This window comes from Homo sapiens, chromosome 3 (assembly GCF_000001405.40).
Source record: "Homo sapiens chromosome 3, GRCh38.p14 Primary Assembly".
Classification (NCBI taxonomy): domain Eukaryota; kingdom Metazoa; phylum Chordata; class Mammalia; order Primates; family Hominidae; genus Homo; species Homo sapiens.
This window is the reverse complement of record NC_000003.12, coordinates 186,861,799-186,879,263: the sequence shown is the minus strand read 5'-3', so window position 1 is coordinate 186,879,263 and position 17,465 is coordinate 186,861,799. Positions and strand designations below refer to the sequence as shown.

Below are 17,465 nucleotides of genomic sequence, written 5' to 3'. Positions count from 1 at the left end.
TTCCATATCCGCTGTGATGACTTTAGAAAATCAGTATCATAAAGGAGGAAGGTAACTGTGTTAGATTAAATGAGACTAAAAGGACAAAACAAAACACACTTTTTGATTAAATCCTAATTGGGATAGAAGAGAAATTTGGCGACTGGGAAAGTTTGAGCATTGGGCAGATAAAAGATAATATTAATGAATTATTGTTAATTTATACAGGTATAAAAATGTAATAGATATTGATAAATTTAATAATTATAATAAATATAATTATAAATTTAATAGTTTTCTCCAGGGTATGTGTATATTGTTAAAATTGTACATTGTAAAAATTTCACCATATTTGCTTTAATAATGGTTAAATCTAGATAATGCAGAATGGATATAAAGAGAATAATTGTATGGTTCTATTTTTATGTCTTTTTGAAATTTTTAATTACATATCATAATATTAGAAAAATGTATATCAGGCTGGATGCGGTGGCTCATGCCTGTAATCCCAGCACTTTGGGAGGCCAAGGCAGGCGGATCACCTGAGGTCAGGAGTTCTAGACCTGCCTGGCCAACGTGGTGAAACCCTGTCTCTACTAAAATACAAAAATTAGCCAGGCATGGCAGTATGTGCCTATAATCCCAGCTGCTCAGGAGGCTGAGGCAGGAGAATCACTTGAACCCAGGAGGCAGAGGTTGCAGTGAGCCAAGATTGCGCCAGTGCACTCTAGCCTAGCCGACAGAGCCAGACTCCGTCTCAGAAAAAAAAAAAAAGAAAAAGAAAAATATATCTCATTTTTTTTTATTGTGGTAAAACATACATAACACAAAATTTAGCATTTTAACCACTCTTAAGTTTTCAGTGGCATTAAGTACACTCACATTGTTGTGTACTTCATTGTGTTTTTAATCGAGTTTATTGAAGTGTAATTTACATACAATAAAATACACACGTTTTAAGCATATGAGGCAATAAGCTTTGAAAAGTGTAAATTCCCATGTAACCATCTCTGCATCGAAATAAAGATTTCCACCTGTAATCCCAGCACTTTGGGAGGCCGAGATGGGCAGATCACGAGGTCAAGAGATGGAGACCATCCTGACCAACATGGTGAAACCCCATCTCTACTAAAAATACAAAATTAGCTGGGCATGGTGGCACATGCCTGTAGTCCCAGCTACTCAGGAGGCTGAGGCAGGAGAATCGCTTGAACCCAGGAGGCAGAGGTTGCAGTGAGCCGAAATCATGCCACCGCGCTCCAACCTGGGCGACAGAGGGAGACTCCGTCTCAAAAAAATAAATAGATAGATAGATGATAGATAGATAGATAGATAGATAGATAGATAGATAGATAGATAGATCTATCTCCGGCCTGGTGTGGTGGCTCATGCCTGTAATCACAGAACTTTGGGAGGCCAAGGTGGGTGGATCACAAGGTCAAGAGTTCGAGACCAGGCCAATATGATGAAACCCCATCTCTACTAAAAATACAAAAAAATTAGCCAGGCGTGGTGGCGCATACCTGTAATCCCAGCTACTCAGGAGGCTGAGGAAAGAGAATTGGTTGAATCCGGGAGGTGGAGGTTTCAGTGAGCCAAGATGGCACCACTGCACTCCAGCCTGGGCCACAGAGCAAGACTCTGTCTCAAAAAAATATAGATAGATAGATTTCCTTCATGTTCTTTTACAGCCAATTTCTCCTCACCACCACCACCACCACCACCTTATGTAACAACCACTGATCTTATTTCTATCATCATACATTTATTCTGCACAATCTACACCTGTATATATAAAGGGAATCATACAGTACTTAAAATTCTGAATTCAGCTTTCTTTCACTCAATGTAACATTTTTTTGATTATACTATACTATTTCAAATATCAGAAATGTCTTTTTAATTGCTGAGTGGGTGAATACACAACAATTTGTTTACTATTTGCCTGTAGATGAAGTTTTGGGTTGTTTTTAGAGGCCATTACGAGTGGTGAATAAATCCACTATGAATATTCATGTACAACTTTTTAACAGACAGATGTTTTCATTTCTCCAGTTTGGGTGGTAAATGTAAAACTTTATAAGGAACTATCAAACTGCTTTTCTATAGTGGTTGGCTATTTTACATATCTAACAACAAAGTAAGAGAGTTCCAGTGGCTCCACGTTTTCACCAATACTTGGCATGGTCAGACTTTTTAATTTTAGTCATTCTAGTGCTTATGGACGGGTATTCATCATCTTAATTTACATTTTCCTAATGATTCATGATTTTCAACGTATTTTTATTAACTCATTGGACATTCATATATCTTCATGTTTCTCTTTTTAAAAATATGGTTATTTGTCTTTTCATTATTGAGTTATAAGTGTTCTAATTTGTAGGTCTAATTCTGAGTTCTCTATTCTTATCTATTGATCTATGTGGCTGTTCTCTGCCAATACCATGCACTCTTGATTTCTGTAGCGTAAGTCTCCGAACTTGATTCTTTTTTTTCTCAAAATTGTTTTGGCTGTTCTAGGTCTTTTGCATTTCCAAATAAATTTTAGAATGAGCTTGTGAAATCCTACCAAAAAAGACTGGTGGGATTTGGACAGGGATTAAATTGAATCTATAGATCAATTTGGAGAGAATTGATATCTTAGTAATATTGAAACTTTCTGTCCATAAACATGATATATTTTCATTTACTTTGATTTTTTTAAAATATCAGTGTGTTTTATAGTTTTCAATGTAGATTCTTTAAATAGTTTGATGTTACTATAAATTTTTTAGATAGTATCTTATTGTGGTTTTAGTTTTAATTTCCTAAATTACTTATAAGAATAGCCATCTTTTCCCCGTCTCTACTAAAAATACAAAAAATTAGCCGGGCGAGGTGGCGGGCGCCTGTAGTCCCAGCTACTCGGGAGGCTGAGGCAGGAGAATGGCGTGAACTCCAGGGGGCGGAGCCTGCAGTGAGCCGAGATTGCGCCACTGCACTCCAGCCTGGGCGACAGCGAGACTCCGTCTCAAAAAAAAAAAAAAAAAAAAGAATAGCCATCTTTTTGTATATTAATGACCAATCATGTATCTTTTGATACTTTTATTTAATTTTTATATGACTGGTTTTTAATTCTTTATGTCTCCTGAATGTTTTTACCAGTGATATGTGGTGCAAATAACTTTCCCCCTATTCGTGGCTTGTCTCTTTCACTTTCTTGAAGATTATTTTCTGATTAACAGAAGTTTTTCATGTTACTGCATCAAGATATATAAATATTTTCCTCTATTGTTTATATCTTTTGAGTCATGTTTATAAAATATTTTCTTACCTTCATGTTTTCTTTTAAAGTTTTAGCCAAACCTGGTGGCATGTACCTGTAGTTGCAGCTAGTCGGGAAGCTGAGGCAGGAGGATCACTCATGCCCAGGATTTGAGGCTGTAGTGAGCTACAGTTGTACCACTGTACTCCAGCCTGGGCAACAGAGCAAGACCCTATCTCTAAAATATAAATAAATAAAATTTTAAAGTTTTTATTTAATATTTAAGTCTTTAACTTTCTTGGAATTAACTTCTTTGTATGGAGCAAGAAAGGAATTCAATTTCATGATTTAAAAAATCTTTAGAGTCAGTAATGCCAGCATCAGTAATTAAATTATCTATAATTTTCCCACTGATCTGTTAAGCAACCTTCATTATGAATTATTTTACATGAACATATGGAATAAAATTCTCATATATTCACCGATTCATGTCTGGTTCTATTTATTTTTTTGTCCATGAACTAAACTTCATTGTTTTAATTACTATGGCTTTGTAATAAGTCTCATTATCCAGAAGGACAAACTCTCTATCCATGTTCTTTATTTAGAAAAATTTGGCTTTTCTCAGCCCTCTCATCCTTCATAAAAATGTTAGAATCAGCCTGGAAAATGCCATGAAAACTTTGCTGGGATTTAATTAAAATTGTATTGACTGTACGGATTAACTTGGAGGGACAGAAATGACCTACTTATACTAATGAGGTTTTTTGTCCATGAACTGTGTCTCATTTTCAAACTCATCTTTTGATCTCCATCAAGCAACCCAATAGCTGGCCCAGAAAAGAAAGAAAAGGAGACATAGATGATTTGGGAGACCATCAAAACCATTTTTAAAATTCTTTTTCTTTAGTCAAAACCAGTTTAAACAAAACAAAGTTTTTTTTTTTTTTTTTTTCAACTTTCTTTTTTTTTTTTTTTTTTTTTTATTGATCATTCTTGGGTGTTTCTCGCAGAGGGGTGTTTGGCAGGGTCACAGGACAATAGTGGAGGGAAGGTCAGCAGATAAGTGAACAAAGGTCTCTGGTTTTCCTAGGCAGAGGACCCTGCGGCCTTCCGCAGTGTTTGTGTCCCTGGGTACTTGAGATTAGGGAGTGGTGATGACTCTTAACGAGCATGCTGCCTTCAAGCATCTGTTTAACAAAGCACATCTTGCACCACCCTTAATCCATTCAACCCTGAGTGGACACAGCACATGTTTCAGAGAGCACAGGGTTGGGGGTAAGGTCACAGATCAACAGGATCCCAAGGCAGAAGAATTTTTCTTAGTACAGAACAAAATGAAAAGTCTCTCATGTCTACCTCTTTCTACTCAGACATGGCAACCATCCGATTTCTCAATCTTTTCCCCACCTTTCCCCCCTTTCCATTCCACAAAACCGCCATTGTCATCATGGCCCGTTCTCAATGAGCTGTTGAGTACACCTCCCAGACGGGGTGGTGGCCGGGCAGAGGGGCTCCTCACTTCCCAGTAGGGGCGGCCGGGGAGAGGCACCCCTCACCTCCTGGACGCGGCAGCTGGCCGGGTGGGGGGCTGACCTCCCCGCCTCCCTCCTGGATGGGGCGGCTGGCCAGGTGGGGGGCTGACCCCCCCACCTCCCTCCCGGATGGGGTGGCTGGCCGGGCAGAGGGGCTCCTCTCTTCCCAGTAGGGGCGGCCGGGCAGAGGCGCCCGTCACCTCTCGGACGGGGCGGCTGGCTGGGCAGAGGGGCTCCTCACTTCCCAGTAGGGGCGGCCAGACAGAGGCGCCCCTCACCTCCCGGACGGGGCGGCTGGCCGGGCGGGGGGCTGACCTCCCCGCCTCCCTCCCGGACGGGGCGGCTGGCCGGGCAGAGGGGCTCCTCTCTTCCCAGTAGGGGCGGCCGGGCAGAGGCGCCCCTCACCTCCCGGATGGGGCGGCTGGCGGGGCGGGGGGCTGACCCCCCCACATCCTTCCCGGACGGGGCGGCTGGCCGGGCGGGGGGCTGACCCCCACCTCCCTCCCAGATGGGGTGGCTGCCGGGCGGAGACGCTCCTCACTTCTCAGAGGGGGTGGCTGCCTGGCGGAGGGTCTCCTCACTTCTCAGACGGGGCGGCCGGGCAGAGGCGCTCCCCACATCTCAGACGATGGGCGGCCTGGCAGAGACGCTCCTCACTTCCTAGATGGGATGGCGGCCTGGCAGAGACGCTCCTCACTTCCTAGATGGGATGGCGGCCGGGCAGAGACGCTCCTCACTTTCCAGACTGGGCCGCCAGGCAGAGGGGCTCCTCACATCCCAGACGATGGGCGGCCAGGCAGAGACGCTCCTCACTTCCCAGACGGGGTGGCGGCCGGGCAGAGGCTGCAATCTCGGCACTTTGGGGGGCCAAGGCAGGCAGCTGGGAAGTGGAGGTTGTAGAGAGCCGAGATCACGCCACTGCACTCCAGCCTGGGCACCATTGAGCACTGAGTGAACGCGACTCCGTCTGCCATCCCGGCACCTTGGGAGGCCGAGGCTGGCGGATCACTTGAGGTTAGGAGCTGGAGACCAGCCCGGCCAACACAGCAAAACCCCGTCTCCACCAAAAAAATACGAAAACCAGTCAGGCGTGGCGGCGCGCGCCTGCAATCGCAGGCACTCGGCAGGCTGAGGCAGGAGAATCAGGCAGGGAGGTTGCAGTGAGCCGAGATGGCAGCAGTACAGTCCAGCTTTGGCTCGGCATCGGGGGAGACCGTGGAAAGAGAGGGAGAGGGAGAGGGAGAGGGAGAGGGAGAGGAGGGAGAGGGAGAGGAGGGAGAGCAACAAAACAAAGTTTTTGTTCAATGTGTTTAATAATCAAGAAAACTGACAGAATCACTTTTATTTCTATTGTTACAGAAAAGGGTCCAAGTAAAGTGTTCATCTTAACCCCGTGAAAAATTTAGTTTTACAGATTTTAATACATTGCAGTCTTAAGAAAAGATTAGGCCAGGCGCCGTGGCTCACACTTGTAATTCCAGCACTTTTGGAGGCCGAGGCGGGCAGATCACAAGGTCAGGAGATCGAGACCATCTTGGCTAACACGGTGAAACTCAGTCTCTACTAAAAATACAAAAAATTAGCCGGGCGTGGTGGCGGGCGCCTGTAGTCCCAGCTACTCAGGAGACTGAGGCAGGAGAATGGCGTGGACCCGGGAGGCAGAGGTTGCAGTGAGCCGAGATCGCACCACTGCACTCCAGCCTGGGCGACAGAGCGAGACTCCGTCTCAAAAAAGAAAAGAAAACATTAGTAAACTTACTGTTTAACATTTACATAAACTAACACAGTTTGAATTCATCATAAGTTCTCCTAGGAGACACCAGTTTATGATATATAATATAAACCATGTATTTATTTTATTTTAGAGACAGAGTCTCACTCTGGTTGAAGTGCAGTGGTGTGATCCTAACTCACTGCAGTCTCAAACTCCTGGGCTCAAAAGATCTTCCCACATCAGCCTCCCAAGTAGCTGGGGGTGGCATGTGCCACTGTGTTTAGCAAATAATGTGAACAATGTAACGAAAACATTTTTTGAAAAAGATATTTGGCATATCAAAAACTAAGCTATTGTTATGGTCTGAATGTATCCCCCAAATTTATGTGTTGGAAACTCAATCCCCAATGCAACAGTGTGGAGAGGTAGGGTCTTTTGGAAGGTATTTAAGTCATGAGGGCTCTTCCCTAATGAATTAATGAATGCCGTTATTAAGAAAAGCTTGTTGGAGCAGGTTTCCTCTCTTCTGCTCTTCTGCCATGTGAGGACATCGCGTTCCTCCCGTCTGAAGGATGGAGCACGCAAGGCGCCATCTTGCAGGCAGAAACCAGCCCCTCACCAAATGCCAGCACCGTGATCTTGGACTATTCTTTATAAATTACTCAGTCTCAGGTATTCTACTTAGCAGCATAAAATGGACTAAGACAGCTATCAAAGTTATGATCACTAGAAGAAAACTCTTCCCCTGATAAAATTGTCAGTGGCTCAAGGAAAAAAATTGCCAGTCATATAAAGAAAGTAGTAGAAATGTATTCACTGTGAAGCATTTTTATCCTGCAACCTTGGATATAAGCACTATACTAATTAGAAGTTATCTGACGCTCTTAAATGACAAATGTTTATTTCTAATCTTAGTTAACTTTCATGGAGATCTTTTTGCCTATCAGTGTCTCCTATCATGACACACAGCCCTGAGCAGAAGGAAGGGATAGCAGGCTGTGTGTCCTGGATATGGCACCCCCTTCTAATTCTTGAACTTTCCATACCCCAGACAAATTGTAGGACTTCACCTTGTCTCTCCATGGCTGGCCTTACTAATTTATCCTGCTTGATTTCATGTTTGATTTATGGAAGATTTTGCTCAGAAACAGGAAATCATTAGGAAAGTGCTGATTTTGGGGAAAAACAGGGGTAAGAAAAGGATGTTTACCCAATCAAGGAGGAAGCCAGACTCAGTGATAAGCTGACAAAGGGAAGTGGTACGTCTGGATAATCTGCCTGACTGCTGTATGCACTTCCTGCCCCTTTCTGAGAAACCCTAATTGACCTGAACATTTGCTTGGATAGGCTGAAAAGTAAATCAGAAATATCATCATAATTGGAGAACCAGGTTCTTACTGGTTGTGATCAACCCCTGAAAGGTCTTCATCAAAAGGCTTCCACCGGCCTCAGAAGACACTTTCATAAGGCTTGTAGTTATATAAATTCTAAGTACCTCACCCCGACTATTCATAACATCATCCCTCAACCTACAGAGAGCCCTTTGCTAAGATAACTCGCAGAACAGCATGAAAATCTAAGATGACAAAATAAATGAACTAAAAAGCACTAATTCTCAATACAAACGTAGCATCCAGAGGGCACATTTAATAAAGTGGACTTCCTAAGAGAAAGCACTCTTCCCGTAATTTCAATTGTTCAAATGTGAGGGAGGTCACAGAGGATTTTCCTGAATGGACTGACATATCCACCACTTTCTCAAGAGCACAGCCCCCATCTGATAGGATAGAGGTATGTGGCAAACTCTGTGTCTGTTTATTCTCTGAGCGTAGCGGCCAAGTCTCCCACCTCCACCTGACACACACTCATACTTTCACCTGGCTCATACCCACATTCCAATGGAATTAAACAGTGGTCTATCATTTTATATCCTAACTGTATAATTCTAACACAGAAATTTCTCCAGGATTGAGTCTTCAATTCAATTACCACTGCTTTTGTCTTCCTTTACTGGGACCAATAACAAATATCTTCCAATTATCAGTAACTCCAGCAGGTGACCTTGACATAATGTCAATCTGGTCATATTTTGCTCCTGCTTAAAAGTTCTTTGTTGGCCTCCGTCATGGAAAGATGAAGTCCAGATACTTTCTACCCTATCTGCTTTGCTTGGCCACACTCAACTTTATCTCTGACCTTTTGTCTTGCATATTTTTTTTCTCAGCCACACTGAACTTCTCACCTTGCCTTATCAACTTATTTATGTTTTGTTTGTTTTTTGACATTGCATCTGCTCTTCACTATAAATGGAATATCTTCCTTTATTCCTCAGTTTAGCAAGACCTAGTTCAAATGTCATCCCCAACACAAAGACCTCCTGACATTTCCATCACCCTAAACCATCCCCCCTCTTAACTCCTGTATCCTATTTTATAAATTTTTATTAAGTTAAAAGGAAATTATGAGTTTATACGTCTAGGTTCTCTAGACAAGATGGAGGAAAAGGCAGGGTATAATGGTAGCTTCTTTTGCTGTAGCTGAGAAATCATGCCATACCACTTAGAGAGATCTTTTTTGCTTTTATTTTTTTCTTTTTAATTTTATTTAACAGAGTGTCAGGCAAGCGTCACTTGGAAATACCTCAAATCTCTATCACACCTGAGTTCCGCTCAGTATCCTTTCTTTTTATTACTGAAGAAAATGGGCATGCTAATGCCTCGACTGTGTCATACTTTCCAGTTTCCAGAGAAAACACTAATTGAAAGCAGTTTGGCATGCAGACATTACAGCATTTATAGCAATGATACAGCATTGTTTCATTCCTCACAGAATCATCCATCATGAAATTATTCTGAGAGAAAGTTTTCCAGGGTGGGAAAGCAACTCAGTCAAACTTTTTCTTCAGCTGAATACCAGAATTCATTCTTTCTATTTTATGGCTGTGATTTTTGTCATGAATTAGGAAGACAGTAAGGTCTTTGTCTTTAAGGCTGAGATTTAATGTATTCATATTTACTGAAAGGTGCCTGCCAAGTAAGCAACACTAGGAGTCAGATAATATCTTGTTTCCAATAAGTGAAAAGGAATGTGTGAATCTGAGAAAGAGCTGCTACTTCAACTCTTAACACTGATTTGCCTTTGCCAAACCTCAGCCAGTTAACAGATGTGTGTGTGCAGCAGTGGAATATTCAGGAAGTTTTCTACAAGCTCAAATTATACGAAATAGTTGACCTTTTGTAGGTCTGGATTTTATAATTTACTCTGTTAATAACATCATACAAACACATTCATGAGTCTGTGAGGCATTCTCTCCATCTCCCTTTTCCAGTTGTGACTAACACTGAGCCAGTTGGCTCAGAGTGGAGATGTCCAAGTCATTTGGGCTCTGACACCATTTTTCAAAGTACTCAGACATTTTGCTCCAACTATATACACATTGCCAACAAGTCTCATTTCTAGGCATAAACATTGCTCAAATAAATGACAGTGACATCCATATAAGGAAACATTATGCATCCACATACAAATCACATTTGAAAGACAACACATTTGAAAATTATATTTTGTGGTGTAGAAAAGCATTCAAATCATTTGAAAAGGCGGGCCAAACAATAGATGTTCAGGATGATTCCAATTTAAAAAAAAAAAAATTTGTAGAGACGAGGTCTCCCTGTTTCGCCCAGACTGGTGTCAAACTCCTGAACTCAAGAGACCCTCCCACCTCCCAAATCGCTGGGATTACAGGCATGAGATTCCAATTTTTTAACAAATATATTGTGTAATCCAAGTTTACCATTCCTTTGAAAGGATCTGTTTTGTCTAAGAAGAATAATGGGACCGGGCGTGGTGGCTCATGCCTGTAATCCCAACACTTTGGGAGGCCAAAGTAGGGGGATCAACTGAGGTCAGGAGTTCGAGACCAGCCTGGCCAGCACGGTGAAACCCTGTCTCTACTAAAAATACAAAAATTAGCCGAGCGTGGTGGCACATGCCTGTAGTCCCAGCAACTTGGGAGGCTGAGGCAGGAAAATCGCTTGAACCCAGGAGGTGGATGTTGCAGTGAGCCGAGATCATGCCACTGCACTGTAGCCTGGGCAACAGAGCCAGACTGCATCTCAAAAAAAAAAAAAAAAAGGACAGGCCCCCGCGGTGGCTCACACCTGTAATCCCAGCATTTTGGTAGGCCGAGGTGGGCGGATCACCTGAGGTCAGGAGTTCAAGACCAGCCTGGCTAACCTGGAGAAACCCTGTCTCTACTAAAAATATAAAATTGGCCAGGTGTGGTGGTGGGCACCTGTAATCCCAGCTACTCAGGAGGCTGAGGCAGGAGACTCACTTGATCCTGGGAGGCAGAGGTTGCAGTGAACCGAGATCACACCATTGCACTCCAGCCTGGGCGACAGGAGTGAAACTCCATCTCAAAAAAAAAAAAAAAAAGAATAATGGAAAAGCAAAAGTTCTGTCTTAGGCCAGGCGTGGTGGCTCACACCTGTAATCACAGCACTTTGGGAGGCTGAGGCGGGTGGATCACGAGGTCAGGTGATCGAGACCATCCTGGCTAACACGGTGAAACCCTGTCTCTACTAAAAACACAAAAAGTTAGCCGGGCGTGGTGGCGGGCGCCTGTAGTCCCAGCTACTCGGGAGGCTGAGGCAGGAGAATGGCGTGAACCCAGGAGGCCGAAATTGTGCCACTGCACTCGAGCCTGGGCAACAGAGCAAGACTCCACCTCAAAAAAAAAAAAAAAAAAAAAAGAAGTTCTGTCTTAGGTCACCCCAAGTGACTTGCACTTACCTCTTGTAAGGGCAGTGGTTCTGCTGCAACTTTTCCCAGCTCAGCCACAGGCTACCTCCTCCCTAGCAACCACTCCTGAACCTAGTCCTCACAATTTACAGCTTCCTCTCCATGAACACTAGAGGTTGACCTAGGGCAAGCCTCACCTTGCTTGCTTGTCTTGTTCCTTTCTTATCCTTAACACCGTCACAAAAACAAACAAACAAACAAAACCCTGTGTCAAAGGACTCCCCTGGTCAAGGAATTTTTAGTACCTCCCGCATTCAGGTTTGCTGATTGCCTTGTAATTTTGGCCATTTTTTATAAAGCCTTGAAATTTAAAGTTTTATGTCGTCACATCTATTTATGTTTCTTCTTTTGCTTCTTCTCTTATTTTAAACTTAGAAGGTCTCCCCTCTGATCTAGAGACTCAGTAGCCATTTTTATATACTTTTAGAGTGGTTTTTTATGGGTTCATTTTTCACCCTTAATTTAACTACTTGATCTATTTGCAATATTTTTCTTTTTTTTTTTTTTTTTTTTTTTTTTTGATTTTTTAAGAAGTCAATTTTTTAAATTGGGAAACCAACATAATAAATCTAAACTTATTGAAAAATGAAATCAGTAACTAATCTTCTCTGTTTCATTCCAACTTTAGTATATATGCTTCCAAAGTAAGAACTCATTTACGATTTTTTTTTTTTTTTTTTTTTACAGCTATCACGGGTGATTTTAATTTTCAACTTTAGGCTTCCATTTTCAAATTCCACAATGAACACATAAGGTGGAGTTCTGGTTTCAACACACACACACACACACACACACACACACACACACTCCTGCCTCCTAGTGGGCAGAGATTTTTGTTCACAAAGAATCTTCTGCCAAATGCCTCCGAGGTACACGTAGGTCTTGGGGAGCCCATGGGCCAACTGTTTTGTGGGCACTCCTGTCTTCGGTAGGCAGGTTCTTCAGAGCTTTGAGACCTCCACAACCTTGCGCTGCTCTCCTGGGGCAGCCTTCATGCAGGGGTGTCCTGAGGACTTCCCAGGGCACCCAACTTCAGCACTGTCATCCAGTGTGCGTTTCACGGAACTTTTTTTCCCAGGAGAAATAACTTTATTTGAACTGAGAGCTGGAGAATGAGACAAGGACTTGAGACAGCATGAGTAGAGGTGAGGTTCCAAAACGGCAGTCAGAGCTCATCCACCAAACAGACTCCACTTTCCCAGCAACCTTGCAGTTAGTGCCACCAACAAAAGGTCCACTGGGAAATATATTTGCCACAAAATTACCCAAGTATGCCAACATTACAAAAAAGATACAGATTTTTCATCGTAATTAAATTTCCACAAAACCCCCAAATCACAAGTGTTTTGTTTTTTTTTTTGAGACGGAGTTTTGCTTTTTTCGCCCAGGCTGTAGTGCAGTGGCACAATCTCGGCTCACAGCAACCTCTGCCTCCCAGGTTCAAGCAATTCTCCTGCCTCAGTCTCCCAAGTAGCCGGGACTACAGGCGCCCAAAACCACATTGTGGGGAAAAGAAAGAGAGATCAGACTGTTACTGTGTCTGTGTAGAAAGAAGTAGACATAGGAGACTCCACTCTGCTCCCCACTAAGAAAAATTCTTCTGCCCCGAGATGCTGCCAATCTGTAACCCTTCCCCCAACCCTGTGCTCCCCGAAACATGCGCTGTGTCAACTCAGGGCCAAATGGATCAAGGGCTGTGCAGGGTGTGCTTTGTTAAACAAATGCTTGAAGGCAGCATGCTTGTTAAGAGTCATCACCACTCCCCAATCTCAAACCACTCCCCAATCTCAAGTACCCAGAGACACAAAACACTGCAGAAGGCCGCAGGGACCTCTGCCCAGGAAAGCCAGGCACCGTCCAAGGTTTCTCCCCATGTGAGAGTCTGAAATATGGCCTTGTGGGAAGGGAAAGACCTGACCGTCCCCCAGCCCGACACCCGACACCCGTAAAAGGTCTGTGCTGAGGAGGATTAGTAAAAGAGGAAGGAACGCCTTTTTGCAGTTGAGATAAGAGGAAGGCTTCTGTCTCCTGCTCATCCCTGGGCAATGGAATGTCTGGGTGTAAAGCTGATTGTATATTCCATCTACTGAGATAGGAGAAAACCGCCTTAGGGCTGGAGGTGGGACATGCTGGCAGCAATACTGTTCCTTAAGGCAATGAGATGTTTATGTATATGCACATCAAAAGCACAGCACTTTTTTCTTTACCTTGTTTATGGTGCAGAGACATTTGTTCACGTGTTTACCTTCCGACCTCCCCACCATTATCCTATTATCCTGTCACGCCCGATAATGAGCAATAAATACTAAGGGAACGCAGCAGCCGGGGCTGGCGTGGATCCTCCATATGCTGAATGCCTGTCCCCTGGGCCCCTTTTTTTTTTTTTTTTTTTTTTTTTTTTTTTATTGATCATTCTTGGGTGTTTCTCGCAGAGGGGGATTTGGCAGGGTCATAGGACAATAGTGGAGGGAAGGTCAGCAGATAAACAAGTGAACAAAGGTCTCTGGTTTTCCTAGGCAGAGGACCCCGCGGCCCTCCGCAGTGTCTGTGTCCCTGGGTACTTAAGATTAGGGAGTGGTGATGACTCTCAACCAGCACGCTGCATCTGTTTAACAAAGCATCTGTTTAACAAAGCACATCCTGCACCGCCCCCAATCCACTTAACCCTGAGTGGACACAGCACATGCTTCAGAGAGCACAGGGTTGGGGATAAGGTCACAGATCAACAGGATCCCAAGGCAGAAGAATTTCTCTTAGTACAGAACAAAATGAAAAGTCTCCCATGTCCACTTCCATCCACACAGACCCGGCAACCATCCGATTTCTCAATTTTTTCCCCACCCTTCCCGCCTTTCTATTCCACAAAACCGCCATTGTCATCATGGCCCATCCCCAATGAGCCGCTGGGCACACCTCCCAGACGGGGTCGTGGCCGGGCAGAGGGGCTCCTCACTTCCCAGTAGGGGCGGCCGGGCAGAAGCGCCCCTCACCTCCCGGATGGGGCGGCTGGCCGGGCGGGGGGCTGACCCCCCCACTACCCTCCCGGACGGGGCGGCTGGCCAGGCAGAGGGGCTCCTCACTTCCCAGTAGGGGCGGCCGGGCAGAGGCGCCCCTCACCTCCTGGATAGGGCGGCTGGCCGGGCGGGGGGCTGTCCCCCCCACCTCCCTCCCGGACGGGGCGGCTGGCCGGGCAGAGGGGTCCTCACTTCCCAGTAGGGGCGGCCAGGCAGAGGCGCCCCTCACCTCCCGGACAGGGCGGCCGGCCGGAAGGGGGGCTGACCCCCCCACCTCCCTCCCGGACGGGGCGGCTGGCCGACCCCCCCCCCCCGCCTCTCTCCCGGACGGGGCGGCTGGCCGGGCAGAGGGGCTCCTCACTTCCCAGTAGGGGTGGCCGGGCAGAGGCGCCCCTCACCTCCCGGACGGGGCGGCTGGCCAGGCGGGGGGCTGACCCCCCCTCCCCCCTCCCGGACGGGGCGGCTGGCCGGGCGGGGGGCTGACCCCCCCACCTCCCTCCCGGACGGGGCGGCTGGCCGGGCAGAGGGGCTCCTCACTTCCCAGTAGGGGCGGCCGGGCAGAGGAGCCCCTCACCTCCCGGACGGGGTGGCTGCCGGGCGGAGACGCTCCTCACTTCCCAGACGGGGTGGTTGCCGGACGGAGGGGCTCCTCACTTCTCAGACGGGGCGGTTGCCAGGCAGAGGGTTTCCTCACTTCTCAGACGGAGCGGCGGGGCAGAGACGCTCCTCACCTCCCAGACAGGGTTGCGGCCCAGCAGAGGCGCTCCTCACATCCCAGACAGGGCGGTGGGGCAGAGGTGCTCCCCACATCTCAGACGATGGGCGGCCGGGCAGAGACGCTCCTCACTTCCTAGATGGGATGGCAGCCGGGAAGAGGCGCTCCTCGCTTCCTAGATGGGATGGCGGCCGGGCAGAGACGCTCCTCACTTTCCAGACTGGGCAGCCAGGCAGAGGGGCTCCTCATATCCCAGACGATGGGTGGCCAAGCAGAGACGCTCCTCACTTCCCAGACGGGGTGGCGGCCGGGCAGAGGCTGCACTCTCGGCTCTTTGGGAGGCCAAGGCAGGCGGCTGGGAGGTGGTTGTAGCGAGCCGAGATCACGCCGCTGCACTCCAGCCTGGACACCACTGAGCACTGAGTGAACGAGACTTCATCTGCAATCCCGGCACCTCGGGAGGCCGAGGCTGGCGGATCACTCGCGGTTAGGAGCTGGAGAGCAGCCCGGCCAACACAGCGAAACCCCGTCTCCACCAAAAAAAAACCGAAAACCAGTCAGGCGTGGCAGCGCGCGCCTGCAATCGCAGGCACTCGGCAGGCTGAGGCAGGAGAATCAGGCAGGGAGGTTGCAGTGAGCCGAGATGGCAGCAGTACCGTCCAGCTTTGGCTCGGCATCAGAGGGAGACGGAGAGGGAGAGGGAGAGGGAGAGGGAGAGGGAGAGGGAGAGGGAGAGGGAGAGGGAGAGGGAGAGGGAGAGGGAGAGGGAGAGGGAGAGGGAGAGGGAGAGGGAGAGGGAGAGGGAGAGGGAGAGGGAGAGGGAGAGGGAGAGGGAGAGGGAGAGGGAGAGGGAGAGGGAGAGGGAGAGGGAGAGGGAGAGGGAGAGGGAGAGGGAGAGGGAGAGGGAGAGGGAGAGGGAGAGGGAGAGGGAGAGGGAGAGGGAGAGGGAGAGGGAGAGGGAGAGGGAGAGGGAGAGGGAGAGGGAGAGGGAGAGGGAGAGGGAGAGGGAGAGGGACTATTTGCAATATTTTTCAAGTATATATGAGGAAGAGGCCAAGAGTGTTCCTTTTTTTCTAAATAACTAAAGTGCATAAATCTTTTATCACATATTAAAGTTCCACATATCTTAGGGTCTAATTCTGGTCACTCTTATCTTTCATTAACCTGTCTGTCTATTCTTATGCTAGGGATACTCTGTTTTGGGGGGGCGCGGTGGGGGTTTGAAATAGAGTCTCACTCTGTTGCTCAGGCTGGAGTGCGGCAGCACATTCTCAGCTCACTGCAGCCTCCACTTCCCAGGTTCAAGCAATTGTCCTGCCTCGGCCTCCTGAGTAGCTGGGACTACAGGCATGTCCACCAAGCCCGGCTAATTTTTGTGTTTTTAGTAGAGACAGGGTTTCACCATGTTGGCCAGGCTGGTCTCGAACTCCTGACTTCAAGTGATCCACCCACCTCGGCCTCCCTAAGTGCTGAAATTACAGGCTTGAGCCACCGCGCCTGAGCCAGGATACTCTGTTTTAACTGCTATGATTTTGTAATATGTTTTCAGTACCTAGCAAGGTTAGCTGCCTATCCCACCTAAATTACTGTTTTTAAAAATCTTATACAGTCTCACCTGTGTGCTCTTTCAAATGACCATCAAAAAAGAAAAACATTAACACCCCTGAAAATTCACCAGAAGCAAAATTAAGAAAAGGGTGTAATGACAAGTCACAGACTTCAAAACATGGCTATTGAGGAAGGAAACAAAAGATTCTGCCAGAGCATGGCAAGGCTTCTAATATCACTGTAGCCTCCCACCCACCAAGACTATACTAAAAAGAAGAGGATTGGACAAATTCCTGTGAGTTCTCCTCAACCTGGGGCAAAGAAGACTCAACAGGTAAGTAAGTATCCCAAGGAAAAGTCTAGAAAAAACCTGTCAGAGTACAGACTCCTGTCAGAGTACAAACTAGCATATCTCAAGATCTCTGTGGAAGAGCTGATGGTTCCTAGGGGTTACTAGGAACCTGTGGACCTAGAGGTATTCCACCATGGGAATAGGATGCATGGCCAACGAGATGGGTTAATTTGTGGTACCAAACATTTAACAGCATTTTAGAAGAGAGAGTAAAAGCCAGGTTACCCAACAAAGGCTGCACAATCCCCAGAGTCTGCTTCTATTCTCTCTTCCCTCCGTCTCAGAAAAGTGGAAAGAAAATGAGATTTCAGCTCTTGCTCTGTGGCTGGGAGGTGAGACATGCAAGTATCAGAGATGGCAGTCATGCTCACTGTATCAGAGCAAACAAAGTCTAGAAAGACCCACGTTCAACACAAGCAAGCTGGATCAGCCAGGTATACTACAGAAAAGCAACAAAAAAAAGAAATGAACAACATGCCAAGAACCCAGTCTGGGAAATATATATATATGTAATATATATATATATATATAAATATATTTGCTATACATACATTATCTATA

General features: G+C 46.2%; 4 annotated features.

The window, feature by feature from the left end:
• Nucleotides 4,144-5,132: an enhancer, noted in NCBI's record as "NANOG-H3K27ac-H3K4me1 hESC enhancer chr3:186591921-186592909 (GRCh37/hg19 assembly coordinates)". NCBI's record gives its function as "activates a minimal SCP1, AML or CMV promoter by ChIP-STARR-seq in primed H9 embryonic stem cells {active_cell/tissue: H9 hESC(primed)}" and the evidence as "EXISTENCE:reporter gene assay evidence [ECO:0000049][PMID:30033119]".
• Nucleotides 7,364-7,967: a transcriptional cis regulatory region, noted in NCBI's record as "candidate enhancer chr3.5443 targeted for multiplex CRISPR interference". NCBI's record gives its function as "positively regulates ST6GAL1 gene expression in K562 cells {active_cell/tissue: K562}" and the evidence as "EXISTENCE:mutant phenotype evidence [ECO:0000015][PMID:30612741]".
• Nucleotides 10,096-10,893: an enhancer, noted in NCBI's record as "H3K27ac-H3K4me1 hESC enhancer chr3:186586160-186586957 (GRCh37/hg19 assembly coordinates)". NCBI's record gives its function as "activates a minimal SCP1, AML or CMV promoter by ChIP-STARR-seq in primed H9 embryonic stem cells {active_cell/tissue: H9 hESC(primed)}" and the evidence as "EXISTENCE:reporter gene assay evidence [ECO:0000049][PMID:30033119]".
• Nucleotides 13,673-14,322: an enhancer, noted in NCBI's record as "OCT4-NANOG-H3K27ac-H3K4me1 hESC enhancer chr3:186582731-186583380 (GRCh37/hg19 assembly coordinates)". NCBI's record gives its function as "activates a minimal SCP1, AML or CMV promoter by ChIP-STARR-seq in naive H9 embryonic stem cells {active_cell/tissue: H9 hESC(naive)}" and the evidence as "EXISTENCE:reporter gene assay evidence [ECO:0000049][PMID:30033119]".